General features: G+C 41.5%; 1 long non-coding RNA gene and 1 pseudogene across 1 annotated transcript; one reads left to right on the top strand and one right to left on the bottom strand.

Moving 5' to 3' along the window:
* Positions 1-3,410: 3,410 nt before the first annotated feature.
* On the top strand, positions 3,411-4,465 carry LOC107987262 (uncharacterized). Its single transcript, XR_001753527.1, has 3 exons — positions 3,411-3,533; positions 3,819-3,939; positions 4,410-4,465. It is a non-coding gene; the product is annotated as an uncharacterized LOC107987262 (long non-coding RNA).
* PMM2P1 (phosphomannomutase 2 pseudogene 1) lies at positions 5,229-6,160 on the bottom strand (annotated as a pseudogene).

The following is a 15,778-nucleotide window of genomic DNA, read 5'->3' as shown; positions in this document are numbered from 1 at the left end:
GTCTCCATTTAGAAAATGGGAAAAGTCACGTCTGCCTACCTGCCAATGGGGTAAGAGGTAAGTTTCTTGTTGAAATCTGAGCAGAAAAACATGACCAATTCTATACCCATTGAAGACATGTATGAGAAATTAAAACAATTCTTTTTTTTTTATACTTTAAGTTTTAGTGTACATGTGCACAACGTGCAGGTTTGTTACATATATATACATGTGCCATGTTGGTGTGCTGCACCCATTAACTCGTCATTTAACATTAGGTATATCTCCTAATGCTATCCCTCCCCCCCCACCTCACAACAGGCCCCAGTGTGTGATGTTCCCCTTCCTGTGTCCATGTGTTCTCATCGTTCAATTCCCACCTATGAGTGAGAACATGTGGTGTAAAACAATTCTTTATGGACTGTACCTCATATAAATTCCTAGAATTAAGTTCTAAAAAAAAATTCAAGGAGGACATAATAATTTTCTATAAATTAGAAAATTCTATACTGTGCAATTAAATAAAATGGCAGCATAGCTTTGAAACTAAAATCAGATAAGGTAAATTGAAGTATGTGATGAATAAAAATACCATAAATTCTGACCAATATGATTTCAAAATATGATATGGTAGATTAACATTGAAAATGCAATAAATAAAATTAGCCACCATAAGAGGTTAATAGAGAAAAAATATGATTATTGCAATAGATACAGGAAATTCATGGAATAACATTCACCATATATTTACGGGACAACTACCTTATAAACTTTAAATGACTTATTGCAACCATCTGAATTAATGTTGCTTAAACAGCGTGTATCTTGGCTGCTTAAAAACCAGATAAGAATTTCCATAACATTAATTTATTTATAACACCATATTGGGTGTGAACCTATCATAAAGTTCACCCAACTATAAAGGTACACAATTGATGATTTATTAAATTGACACTGTGTGTAGCCATCACCATGACCTAACTTAAAAATGTTTCTCTCACTGAAGTTCTCTCTTGCCCATGTCAATCCCTACTCCCATCTCCAGCCCTAAGCAATACTGCTCTGATATTCTGTCTGTATAAATTTCCCATCTGTGTAATAGAAATGGAATCATACAATATATTATATTGAGGTCTGACTTTAATCATTTAGTTATTATTTTTGAAGTTAATTGATGCTTTAGCTTGTGCCAGTCATGTGTTTTCCTTTTCATTGCTTCATAGTCCATTGTGTGGATATATAAACAGTGTTTATTCATTCATCAGTTGATGGACATTTAATTATTTCTGTTTTTTGTATTATGAATAATGCTGCTTTGAGCATTCATAATACAGTCATGTAATGTATAATAACATTTTGGTCAATGATGGATAGCATGTATGATGGCAGTCCCATAAGATTATGATAGAGTTTAAAAATTCCTATCACCTAGTGTCTTGTAGCTGTCACAAGTGTGTAGCGTAACACATTAGACAGGCATCAGTGATGATGCCGATGGTAAGGAATCTATTGGTCTTCCAGTTATGTTAAAGTACTGTATAGAATGTACAACTATGTGCAGTATATAATACTTGGTAGTGAAAATAAATGACTATGTTCCTGGTTTATGTATTTACTGTGCTATACTTTCTATAATTATTTGAGAATATATTCTATCTGCGTATTAAAACAAACCACTTACCTGTAAAACAGCCTCAAGTAGGCCTTTGAGGATGTATGCTAGAAGGTGTTGTTATCGTAAGAGATGATAGCACCATGTGTGTTTCTGCCCCTTCCAGTGGGACAAGATGTGGAATCGGAAGGCAGTGACATTGATGATCCTAATCCTGTGTAGGCCTAGGCTGATGTGTGTGTCTGAGCCTCAGCTGTTAACAAAAAAAGTTTAAAATTTAAAACTTAAATTTTAAAATAGAAAAAATATAGAATAATATTTTAAAAATTTGCACAGCTCTACAATATGTTTATGTTTTAAGGTAAGTAGTATTACAAAATAGCTGTTTTTAAAATTGTTAAAGTTTATAAATTTTAAATGTTACGGTAGGCTAAGGTTAATTGTTGAATAAATAAAAATATATTTCTATAAATTTAGGGTAGTCTAAAGATACAATGTTCATAAAGTCTATAGTAGTGTACAGTAAGATTCCAGGCCTTCACATTCACTCACCATTCACTCACCGAATCACCCAGAGCAACGTCCAGTCCTTTAAGCTCTGTTCATGGTAAAGTGCCCTATACGGATGTACTAATTTTTATATTTTATACCATATTTTATTGTAGCTTTTCTATATTTAGATTTTAGATATATAAATGCTTATCATTTTGTTACCTTTGCTTGCAGTATTCAGTACAGTTACATGTTGTACAGTTTGAAGCCCAGAGCAATTGGCTGTATCATACAGCCTAGGTGTATAGGGGGCTATGCCATCCAGGTTTATGTAAGTGCACTCTATGATGTCTGCGTAATTACTACATCACTTAACGATGCATTTCTCAGAACACATCACTGTCGTTAAGAGACACATGTCTGTACAAATGACTTTGGAGAATATGCTTTCAGTTCACTTGGAGCATTCCTGGGTGTGGATTTGCTGGACCAAATGTTAAGTTCAAATTTAATTTTTTTTAAGAAACAAGAAAGCTATCTTCCAAATTAGCTATGCCAATGTACATTCCTGCCATGCTGCATAGTACCAATTTCATTGTACACTGTATGGTAAGCCCCAGCATGTAAGAAATGAATAAAGTAACACATATAAAGATGAGTATAAAGCAAATGAGATTATTATTGTTGTTATTGTCTTTGTCAGATTCTCAAAATAATTAAGAATATATTTTTATATAAATGTGCTTGGCAACATAGCTGAAAACAGCATTAGTAGTTATATACTTTTATCAGTAACAAAGACATAAATTTTCAGGGAGAAAAACACTTGTAATAACAATGTCAGAATTAGCATACAAATTCTGCAAAACATTTTTGGCAGTTTAATTGGGGCAGTGTTTTGTAGACAAATGAACAACTTAAGTAAGGGGAATCAACAAAACTTGGGTTTCAAAAGTTATCTGGGTTTAGAGTGTGAAACTTCGTCGGAGGACACACACCTTGCGTGAATGAGATGCCTGTGTGTGTGTGGACATGTTGGAGGAACAGCATAATGGTGGCTTCCTCCAGAAAGGGACATTTGGGGGAGCACCAATGGCTCCTGACTCACAGTGGATTCATTCCACCTAGACAACACAGCCTGATGTGGCCTGGACATGAATGGAGGTCAAATGGGCAGTAGCTGAGAGGATCAGCCCTGACAAGGGCCAGGGTAAAAGACCTGGGAGTCTCTTCAGGTGCAAAGTCTTCAGTTGAAAAAAGGAGGTGGTCACAGGAGATACTGAGCTGGATCAATAAAGTGCAGGAGAGAGAGTTGTTGGCCCTGGGGAGTGAGTAGTATGGACTCTTAATTTTTCTCCTCCCTCCATTAATTTCTCTTCCAGTGCAGACTTCAGTCTTAGACTTCCCAGCTGCCTTGAGGGATTGGATGAGCCTTGGCCAGCTCTTGAAGGTAAAGGAAAGCACCTACAAAGATTGGCATCTGGGCTTGGCTGTGCATGTTTTCTATTCTGGGAAAATATACATAACACAATATTTATTTGAACCTTTTAACAAATGTGTGCACTCAGTGGCATTCAATATATTCACAGTGTTGCATAACCAACACTACTATCTACACCTGAAATTTTGATTATTTCTAACGAAACCTTGAAGACAGTAAGCAATATACTTCCTTTCCCCCTATTTCCAGCCCATGGTAATTTCTTTTTCTTTTCTTTTTTTTTTTTTTTTTTAGGAAACAATAAAATCATTTTAATGTGCTACTTTTCATTTTGAAGTCGTTACAGTATCATTTGCAAAACTCAACAAGGAAAGATGCCTGTGGATGGCCGTGTTCTGGGAGTCACTGTGATGAGGTGCTGCCTGCTTTCGCCCAACCTGATCTGGGGCTCAGACAGCTAACAGGCCCGAGTGGCTAGGAGGTTTGGAGGGAACCAGGTTTCGCTGTGATGAAAGCACCTTGCTGTGGGCTGGGAGGTGGGAGTGCAGGGCAGCCTGGGCCCCCCTGGCCCCATACTCAGATCGGCAAGTGCCCAGTGGAGGCCACATGGCCCCAGCACCAACCAATGTAGGGTCTGTGGGTCCCAGCATTTCCACATCCTGAAAAGTGAGACGTGAACTGTTTCCTAGGCAAGTTCTCTTCCACTGTGTTCTGGATGAGGTCTGTGAGCTCCTTCCAGTTTCACAAAGAATGTGCAGAAGGTGGAAAGAGTGAGGGACGCAGGCCCAGCTGCAGCTGCACTCAGGCCCCTCAGTCATAAAGTCCGGGTGAGGGGCTGAGTAGGCGCTGACAGGAGAACAGCCCCTGTTCCTCTTCCCTAGCCAGGTTCTCACACGTCCCTGAGGAACTAGAGAGGAACGCCTCTGGGAAGCCCAGCCAGAGCCAACTGGAAGGGCCTTTTGGTGAAGTCTGACATCCTACATTAGTTTCTCTGGACCTGGGTAAGAACCGGCCCCCAGGGGAAGGACTGTTTTGCCAGCACCAACTCTCCAGCTGGGCTGTTGGTTCCCATTGCCTCCCGTCATGGATACAGAAAATCAGCCAGGCTATTCCTAGTGTAGTAAATACAGAGCTGGCTGAGGCAGGGCCAGCTGAGGTGCAAACTCCATGGGGTTTGCTGTCAGTCCGCCAGCCATCTGTCCAGCAGGCCTCAGCTTCACAAACAGGAAAACAGAAGGAGTGCATCTACTCACTGGGTGTCACACTGCCCCTGCTCACAGCCACCACCTGCATCGAGGCAACCTGCAGGCGGGAGTTTGGTTCCAGGAGGTGTCTGTAAACTTCTGTCCTGGGGTGGGCCACTGCAGATGGCCTGTCCTTGCTTTCTCATCACCAAATCCCCGTTTTGGTGCTGACGCATCCAGACGTTAAAATCGCTGATGTTTTCACAAGACCCACAAAGAGGGAGGGTCCAGGCACATTTTTTCTTTCCGTATCACCCTGGAGTGATGGGGAAATTTCCCCAAAAACCATGTGTACTGTGATTGCACATATTGGGGTGGGTATATTAGACTAGGGGGCCGCGGATGGGTGGGGAAAATCTTTCATGTGAGGTATTCCTCTAAGCAATTCTTGACAACTCTTTTCTCCTCCCTTCTGGAAGCTTCTGGCACTGGAGGTGGAGGCACGGCATGTCAGGGGTGCAGGTCAAGACCACACATGCTTGGCACAGTACACAGAGCTTGGCTGGGCTGTGGGTGGGTGAGCATATGCAGGAGGGCCCTTGGCTTTGGCCACCGAATGCCCCTTGCTGGCTAGTCAGCCGGGACCACCCCTGCCCCTCCCACTCACACATTAGGCAAGCTCTTCACAGATCCTGCGTGTGTCCTCAGGCACAGTCATGGAGTAGCCCACGGTTCTGGAGTCTGTGAAGGTCTCGTGGTCGTTGCCACCTGGTATGATTTTGTCTCCAAAGAAATAAATGGCTTTATAACCGTCGTTTTTCACATGTCACAGGCAATACCTCTTGCCCCATCCATCAGGAAAGACATCAAAGCTGATCTGGCCTCCTGTGAAAAACATGAGGGCTTTTCCTGCAAACTCTTTCCTTGATCTGCTACAACTTTTTCTCTTATATTTTCTCTTTTATTGAATTCATAGAACTCAATGCATTCTTCTTGTCTGCAGCTTCTTCCAAATAGGGGACATGTTTAACATCCCATTTCAGAATTCAATTAAAGTACCCCTCTTCTTCAGGAGTTTAATTTTTGCATTGCAGCTCAGACAATAGTTGATTAAATCTTGGATTTGGACCTCACCCAGGTGACTTTGAATATTCCATTTACACGAGGATTTCCCATGTTTGTGTGCTACCAAGCCATTTTCTGGAAACACGTAATCATATTTTTCAACCACAGCATTTCCCAGTTGCTCCTGCGCTTCCTCAAAGTCCAACCTGCCTACCACTCCGATTTTGATCTTCTGCCTCAATTTTTGTAGGAAGTCATCCATTTCTTTGGTAATTTTCTGCTGCGGGGTGGTCAGGGTCCCATCAACGTCCAAAAGGCAGAGCACTGGGCCGGGTGCTGCCATGTCCCCGGTTTCCAACTGCACCTTACAAGACTGGTTGGTACCAGCCCATGGTAATTTCTATCCCATCTTCTGTGTCTGTGCATTTGATTATTCTAGGCACTTGATTTTAGTAGAATCCTACAATATTCCTTTTGTGTCTGGCTTATTTCATTAGGCATAGTGTTTTCAGTATCCATCCGCATTGTATCATATATCAAAATTGTTTTTTACAGATGGATGATGTACCATTACATGTATATACCACTTTGTTTTTATACATTCATTTGTTCACTGATAGTTGGATTTTTCCATCTTTTGGCCCTTGTGAATAGTGATGCTATCAACATTAGTGTACAAATATCTGTTTAAGTGCTGTTTGCCATTCTTTTTGGTATATACCTACTACTAGAATTCCTGGGTCCAGTGGTAGTTCTATGTTTAACCTTTGGAGCAACTGCAAACTGTTTTTCACAGTGATTGCAACTTTATACATTTCTACCAGCAATGTATCACAGTTATAATTTCTTGTTTTCCTTTAAACACTTATTTTAAACTATTTTCCTTTAAAAAAATTATCCGGCCGGGCGTGGTGGCTCACGCCTGTAATCCCAGCACTTTGGGAGGCTGAGGCAGGTGGATCACAAGGTCAGGAGATCGAGACCATCCTGGCTAACACAGTGAAACCCTGTCTCTACTAAAAAATAGAAAAAAAATTAGCCAGGCCTGGTGGCGGGTGCCTGTAGTCCCAGCTACTTGGGAGGCTGAGGCAGGAGAATGGCGTGAACCCAGGAGGCAGAGCTTGCAGTAAGCCAAGATAGTGCCACTGCACTCCAGCCTGGGCGATAAAGCAAGACTCTGTCTCAAAAAAAACAAAAAAAATTATCCTAAGGCCAGGCACAGTGGCTCACACCTGTAATCCCAACACTTTGGGAGGCTGAGGTGGGTGGATTACGAGGTCAGGAGTTCAAGACCAGCCTGGCCAAGATGCTGAAACCCCGTCTCTACTAAATGTACAAAAATTAGCTGGGCATGGTGGCACGCGCCTGTAATCCCAGCTACTTCAGAGGCTGAGGCAGGAGAATCGCTTAAACCTGGGTGCCAGAGGTTGTGAGCCAAGATCAAGCCACTGCACTCCAGCCTGGGCAACACAGCAAGACTTCGTCTAAAAAAAAAAGAAAATTATCCTAGTAGGTGTATATTGGTACCTGTTTGTGCTTTTCACTTGCATTTCCCTAATGACTAATGATGCCGAGCAGCTTTTCCTCTGCTGGGTATACCTCCTTTAGAGACTTATATATTCAGGTACTTTGCCCATTTTTAGAATTGTCTTTTGTCTTTTGTTTATTGTTGTTGTAGATTTTTAGGAGTTTTAGAATATATTCTAATTTTTAATTTCCTACAAGATGTATAATTTGCAAATATTTCTCCCTTTGTTTAGAACTTTAGATGTACAAACTTCCTTAATTTGTATAAAATTGATTTTTTTCTATTTATTATACTTTAAGTTCTGGGATAAAAATTGATTTTTTTAAGCATTGCCTTATTTTTAGTGTCATATTCATTAAAAGGTTGCTAAATTCACTGCTATGAAACCTTATCCCAATATTTTCTTCTGAGAGTTTTATAATTTTAGCTCTTATATTTAGGTCTCTGACACATTTTGAATTAATTTTTCATATGGTGTAAAGTAAGCATTCAGTTTGTTTATCTGAATGAGAATGTGCAGTTTTACCAACATCATTTGCTGAAGAGGCTTTCCACTTTCCATTGTATATTTATGGCACTTTGTTGAAGATCACTTGGCTATATATGTATGCGTTTAATTCTGGCCTATCAGTCCCAGTGGTCCTTATGGGTGCCCTAATTCTAGGACCATACTTTCTGAGTATATGTAACTGTATTGTACATTTCAATCTCATAAACGTGTGTCCTCCAACACAATTCTTTTACAATGTTATTGAATATTTGAGACCCCTGGAAAATTCATTCAAAATTGAGGGTTTTCTTATCCATTTTTGCAAACATGGTTGTCAGCAGTTTGACAGGGGTTGTGGTGCATCTGTACATCACTTTGTATAGTATTGCACTTGAATAATGTTTAGTCTTCCTGTCCATGAATACAGGATGCCTTTCTACTTATTTATATCCTCTTTACTTTATTTCAGCAATGTTTTGTTCTTATTGAGGTATAAGTATTTTGCTTCCTTGGTTAGCTATCTTACTAAGTATGTAATCATTTTACATGTTATTGTAAATGGAATTACATATGCAATTTTCTTATTGGACTGTTCATTGTTGGTGTATATTAACACAGCTGCCATTTGAGTGTCAACCTTATACTCTGCAACTTTGAACTTGTTAACACTAATACATTCTTATACATTATTTCATATTTTCTATATATAAAAAGGTAGAGAAGTTATTGGCTTCATATCTATTTTCTCAAGATATGAAATGTATATTGCTACTGTACAGTTAAATTCATACTCCCTACTGAATGATGTCCTTCCAAATGGCCTAGTTAGATTGTTCAAAAAATAATTTGTCTTCTTATTCCACAATTTATAGTTTTAGTTCTTTCTTCAAGATGATGTCTTTGTTTTTTTCCTTTTAGTAATACGTAGTATTTCTCATTCTGTTCTGCACACCAAGGCTCCCTGTTAGCTAGTAACTGGAAGAATATGGCAATGTCTATTTTGTTTTTGCTTTAACATCATTAATTACCTTTTAAATTACTAATATCAGAAATTTACAGTGAATCTGGAGTGGAGGAAATGTGCAGGGAAGCATTTCACAAATGAAGGAAGCCTGACCTTCCTTTTAACATGGCTTCCTTCTTTTCCTGAGACGGAAATGTATACTGAGCTCATGACGTGTGAGAGCCTGTTGCTTTTGCTTCTCCTCATATCATGAGTTTTCCCAAATATCTAATGATAATGTCTGTGTCTAGGTCCATTTAACTACCACAACATGATTCCTAAACATATTTTTTGTGTATTACCCAGAATTCTCTACTTACAGACATATCAATAATATACTTTCACCCAACCCATTGCCCTCCTCAGAGGTAAGAGATGCCCAAAATGGTTCTCCTGTCGCTTCATCCCAAGCACTGCTCCAAGGCTGGGCTGTGCTCATCTCTGTAGCTGGGCAGTGGGCTCAGGCAGAGCCACTTACATTTGGGAGGAATAAGTCATATGAGATAATAGTGTATCATGAGTTTAGAACACCAAGATGATATAGCAGGTCACTCTCCTCTCCAGGTAAACTGGTGTTCATCCCATTGGACCAGGTATCTGTGGATTTTTTGTCAGGTTACTGGTTCATTTTGTAGACAGCACTCACTTAAAAAAAATTTTTTTTGGAAGTAGCCACTGCATGGAATCAGGATGTCACCAAAAGCATTTTTGACACCTAGAGCTATCTGATTCCTTCAAAACCAAGTTTGGGCTAAGCTGAAGTGGTTATTTTTGGACAAAACAGGTCTGTGTTATGGAATCAGCCCTGACTTGGAAGCTTATCTCCTGGGTTTGAAAGCAGCTCTGAATCTTGCTAAGTTGTGAGACCTCAGGCAAGTCAGTTCACCTCTAATTGACCTTGCTGACCATACACAACACACACTTTACTTTTAGTACCCCATTCAACCCTCACTGCAAACCTCACCTAAGTTGTGGTAGTTTACTGTCCAGACTCCTTAGATGGAGAAACTGAGGTGCTAAATGAATGTGCCCAAACTTGCAGGATCCTAAGTGAAGGAGACAAGATGTGAACCTAGACATGTGGCCCCAAGGCTGAAGCAAGTGAGTCGTTGAACTGCAGTTATCACGCCGAGAAGGGTAGCTCTCAACCCTGCCATGAGTTATAAGCATAGGTGGCTCCCTCACTCATGTGTGTCCTAGAATTCTGCGAGTCTGCAGACATCCCAGGCATTGGCTGTGATTACAGGGTGGCCACAGTAATCACATAGCTTAGGGCAGACATCAGTGAATGTAACTGTATCACTGGGCATAGTCATTGGTGTGGGCAGTACAGAGAGGGCCCAGATACTTCTCATGCCATGGCCAGGTCACAAGTTCTGGTCACTGGGAAGCAGCACTGAGAGACTTTCATGAACTTCTTTCAGTGCTGAGGATACTCCTCAGCATTTGGCCCCAAACAGGTAGGATTGAAGAAATATTTTTGAAACAGTAGAGTGTATTATCACCAAAAGACCTAGGAGTGATCAAATCCTGCAAGCTACACATGAGGCACAATGACAAATAAGGCAGCAAAGGGCCATTTGGTGATTAGTTCACCAAACTTGTTGCAACTGTTTGTACTGCAGAGTTAAAACATACCAGTATTCAACCCACATCTCCTCTCCTGAAATAAACTGTCCAACATCAGCTGGCCAGAACAAGCACAGATATTCTTCAAACTCAACTAATATGCATACATGACAAAGAAAAGGCGGTCTGGATGAAAAAATAGTGGGTTATTAATAATGGTTATTTTAAAGGATATAATTTCAGTGTTTCTAATTCTGTCATTGATTATAACAAAGGATTAGTGAATAAATACAATAGACTGTTTTGCCTGGAATTGAATCCAATCTGTCCATTAAACTTTGCTTTTATTCAAGTGCAAAATCCTAAAACACATAATAACTGCAGTGACAGCCAATGTGGATCCATTGACATAAAAATGGTCTTGGGGCATAAATCTTACAAGCTAATATTGTTTTACGGGGTTTAGAAAACCATTTAGCTGGGTTTCAAAACCGGCAGTGTGAGTAATGGGATTCTCATCAAATTACAGCATGTACTTCAGTACTGTTTGTAGACTGACTTATTCTTGTTGCGTTAGGTTGCCATTAGCAAAATGCCAGGGACTCAGTTTCTCACTCCTTTCATGCTCCTCTTTCTTGCCTGTCTTTTCATGAGGAAAAATTTTCTAGCGCAGTCCAAGCTGTGCTTTTAACCGAACACATCCACACACACTGTCCTATTGTCTACCTTCAGCAGAGCTCCCTGGATAAATCATGAACAGAAGCATCTATGACCGACAGTTGCTCTGTGTCCTTCTAGCCTCGCAGGAGTTTCCAGCTCATGAGGGCAGAGGAGATGAAGAGAGGCCGATCGACGTGAGGGTGAGGTTGCCTTGCTTTCCCTAAAATAGACATGTTCCTTTCTTGGTTGCTTTTTCAATTAATTTTACATGTGAAAAAAACGATGTGCATTATAGACATTAAATACTGTTTTCTGGGGTGGTGGAAGAAGAGATTCTTAGCAACTGATATGTAACCCAAAATGACATTTACGTATGATGGCCTCAGGTTATAGACTGTATCCCTGGGGTCCTTGTTCTTGGAAGCAATGTCTTCTTGGATTAAGCATTTTGCACTTGCCGACCTAAATGGACCTAAGAGATACACCTTCTAGGAAAAACTCATGTCTTTTCCAGTGTGCATCCTACCCTTGTTTTGGGAGCCTTGGAGTTGACTACAGTTTCTGATGCAGTTTTTAATGCTCTTTGAGAGAAACAGAGCCAGGTGCAAACAATCCACAGCTCAATGTGCCCCTCATATAGCTTTGTTTCTGTATTGCAGGTCGTGCAGGTGGCCCCTCTGAGGTGTGACTCCAGTAAGTACTCTGGAATTACTTGCTGAGAAAGAAAAGTCTGGATGTCAAGAAAGGTGTGACATCCTTGCTGGCTTCAATGTGAAGAGCCACCCTGATTCTGGGATTCTGATAGGAATAAGGGTAGTGGACTTTTTTTTTTAAGTTCTCCAGGCAAAAATTATGACCAAATGTCTCCATCTGATGAAGCAGCTGCATTCCTATGGGGGCGGTGGGCTGTGCGCTTGCCTGGTGTCTTATGAGTCTGCATCGTGTGATATGATTGTGTGTGTTTTCGTATAGGGGAGGCTGTGTGTTTTCTCAGGAGAGATTTTCCATTTACACAGCACAATTGCCAGTCTCCACTTCTAAAAAGTAAAATCCACCCCTGTTCTACTCTCTCCATACATGACTAATTCACCCGTGCCAGAGCCACCTTTCATTACCCTCACTGCTCAGGTGGAGAATCTGAAGGGCCAATGGGAGTGGCCCCAGCTTTGGAGCTCCTGAATGAAAAAGTCAAAACATGAGCTCAGGTGTGTGGCCCAATGCTGACAGTCACCTGCTGACATGCACTTATGCGTCAGTCACAGGGTGTTCATCACCATGCAGGAGTCCAGCATTCATGTACAAGCCCTAAAGCACTGAGCCTGAGAGATCCCAGACTCTGCCCATCACCATAAAGTGACCTCCATGGTCACATAACCCAGAGCAGTTATAGGCACATCTTCCTACAGACCAGCATAGTCCTCAGTGTCAAAAGCACAAAGATCCCCGGATGTTTTGGGTCAGCTCACAGGTTCTAAGATGTGGGGGACCATATAGAACAGTTCTGAAGTTATTTTGCTCAGCAGCTGGCCAAAGCTTATAAGGATCAGTGATATATTTCAGTAGATTTAGTAATGTTCACAAGCCCTAAAATGCTCAAAACCTGCCAGCTAAAAATGGTGAAGAGAGACAGATAAGAACACTGCTCCACTCAGTGTGGTTTCCGTTGCCTCGTGGCAACTCTGTTATACATCTGGATTAAGGACCCTCAGCCTCAACCTAACCTTTCCTCCATGAGGAACCGTCTCACTGTTAACTGACTAGTGTAGCCTGCCTGGCCATTAGCCTACGTGAAATAAAGTTTTGCTTTAAAACAAGTGTAAATCTCATACAGCAGATAAGTGCAGTAGCAGCAGCATCTTGCAAGTTGTAAAGAAGATAGCGGCGATGTAGCTGGACTTGAAGCCAGACAGGAGGAATTAGGGAACTCTGTCACTGAATTACAGCACGCAGAGTTGAAAACCATTTGTAGACAATTTCGTGTTACAGTAGGTAGCCTTTAGCTAGTAAGCAAAGGTCTCTGTTTCTCATTTCTTTCCTGTTCATCTTCATTGTTGTCCTTCTTCCAAAACGGCAAACAGCCAAAGCAGAAGGCAATTTCAGTATTAATCTAACTAAGGTTTTGTGTAGTTTACTATCATCCAGGTAAGCAAATATAACTGCCTGCCTGCGTGCCTGCCTGTCCCCAACCCCTGCTCTGCGTTTTCATTTAATAAATATTTTGGTGTTCTACTTACCATGTGCTAGATTTTCTGGAAACCACAAAGAAAATGAGGTAGAGTCTTTATATTGACAGCTGATAAGTTAGATTTAACATAACTGACAAAAATTAAAAATTGCAACTTTTATAAAAATACCTTATATATGTCTGAATACATACTGAATGTAAGGTAGTTGACAAAAATAATTACACCTGCACTTACGGGCAGTTTCTCATGAACTTGTCAATTTCTATTTTTTCTACTTCCTCATTTCAGTAGATGATGCATATCTGAACCTGGAAACCGCTTCCCACTGTAGAGCGTGTCTGAGTCATGTCCCTTAGCTTCAGCAGAGCAGATCCAGCAGGCTCTGAGCTTGACCTCTTTGCCTGAAGCGAGACCTCTAGGTAACGTCTCCAGGGAGGGTGGCACAAAGGATCCTGGATCTCCTGATCACAGCAGCCCAAGAGTGCCGTGTGTGCACCATGGCTCAAGAAGACTTAAAAAGGGGAAAGTATGACTATTTCTAATCTGTAGTATTTCAGTATTTTTAATGTTTCGGTAATCTGTATGAAAAAGAATTTGCAATAAATAGAATAATTTGCCTAAAATTGAATCTATTTCACCAATAAAATTGGCTTTTAATCAAGTGATAAATCCTGTAAAATAGATAATAAATGCAGTACCAACATAGTTTGATTCTAGTACACTGAGATAATCTTGAATACGTTAAGAAAGTCTTGTTTGTATAGAAGAGTTTCAAATCATGTGAGTGATGAAGGGACCCTTCTGTTGAACCTTGGTGTGCATTTTAGGTCCATTTTGGGTTTACTCCTTTGTGCTGCTTCATGATGCCTTAGGACAAGGACAAGGCCTAGGCCTCCTTGTCTCAGTTCCCTCCTGCTCTCTCTGTTGCCCTCCTCCTTCCACCTGGAGCATGGCCCAGCATCAGGTTGGCGCATGCTGTGATCAGCTACCTCCATGTACCACACCAAGCAAAGCTCTCTGGGTGACACAGTTGCCACCACCAGGGCACTGACCCTTACTCTGTGTTCTCCTAGCTCCTCCTGAGGGTGCTGTAGGAGACATCTGCAAAAAAGAAGATGCTGGCAATGTAAGACACTTTTCTTGGTCTTAAACCGAAATGTTACTTTCCTGGCTGCTTTCCTTTCCAGTCAAATATACACATGGGAATCTGACAGGGTGCATTATCTATGATGTCCACAGTTCCCTTGCTGGGTGGTACTGGTTGGCAGCCTCTCACCAACCCACACCTGGCATACTGGGGCCTTGTAGATGGCAGCATTCCCTATCCACTGCAATGCAGAGGACTTTCCCTCAGCAGCAGTTTTCCCCATGGATTAAGAGTTGTGAAAGTGGCTGGGTCCGGTGGCTCACACCTGTATTCCCAGCATTTTGGGAGGCCAAGACAGGCGGATCACCTGAGGTCAGGAGTTCAAAACTAGCCTGACAAACATGATGAAGCCCCGTCTCTACTAAAAATACAAAAGTTAGCTGGGCTTGGTGGCATGTGCCTGTAATCCAGATACTTGGGAGGCTGAAGAAGGAGAATCGCTTGAATCCGGGAGGCGGAGGTTTCAGTGAGCCGAGATCAAGCCACTGCACTCCAGCCTGGACAGCGAGACTCCTTCAAAAAATAAAAATAAAAATAAAAAAGAGTTGTGAAACTGCCCATCTAAATAAACCTTAAAGGTAAATTCTATTGGAAAAGTTCTTGTCTTTTCTGTAGGTGTACTTTGTGCTAGTTTTGGGGGACTTTGACCTTTGACTCTACCACTATACTTACAATTTTCTAAAGTTGCCAAGAGAATAACAGATATGTGTGACATGCGTGGCATCATCTAATCCTCCTAATGTGTTCTATAATTGCAGATGCCATCAACCTCAGAGGGGAGTATTTACCTTGAAATGGCTCACTTCCTGAGGAACAAACTTGCTGGATCTAGTGTACGGAAACCTGATTCTGGGTTCCTTTGGGAAGGAGCATTACGGGCCTGGTGAGAGCAAATGACTTTCCAGTAGAAAGCTATGGCCAGAGAGGCTGCAGGAATATCTGTGAACCCAGAGGAAAGACCAGGGAATCCTGTGTGAGGCAGTGGGGCTTCAGCGGGACTAGGAGTGGGTAGCCTCTCTCAAATGACTTCTCCTGTTGTTTGTGTTTCTCCAGTGTGGGTGCTGGAGAGCATAACTGATGAGGAGGACTCTCCAGCTAGGGAACTGCTTTCCAGGTGGGACTCAGTGGGCAAGGGTTCCCAGGGCCCTTCAGGGTATTCCTGCTGCTTGGGAGGCTGAGGGAGGGGGCATAGAATCAAAAAGAAAAAGGAAATATGTGTAAAGTTTGGTTTGGTCTTTTCCAAGTTTATTGGCGTAGTGGTGAGAACTGTCTCTATGGGCTATGAGGGTGCCGTGTTGTTTAAAGATGATCTTTCCCAAAACACCTTTTCTGCCTCTGCATCTGCCAAACATCACAGCTTCTGCGTTGGATTAGTCAGCACTCCTTGATATTGTGCAAAAGAGGTTTAGGGTTCCCTCAACC

The sequence above is a fragment of the Homo sapiens genome, chromosome 18 (assembly GCF_000001405.40).
Source record: "Homo sapiens chromosome 18, GRCh38.p14 Primary Assembly".
NCBI lineage: Eukaryota > Metazoa > Chordata > Mammalia > Primates > Hominidae > Homo > Homo sapiens.
The sequence above is the reverse complement of the archived record's forward strand: the minus strand, read 5'-3'. Positions and strand labels throughout refer to the sequence as shown.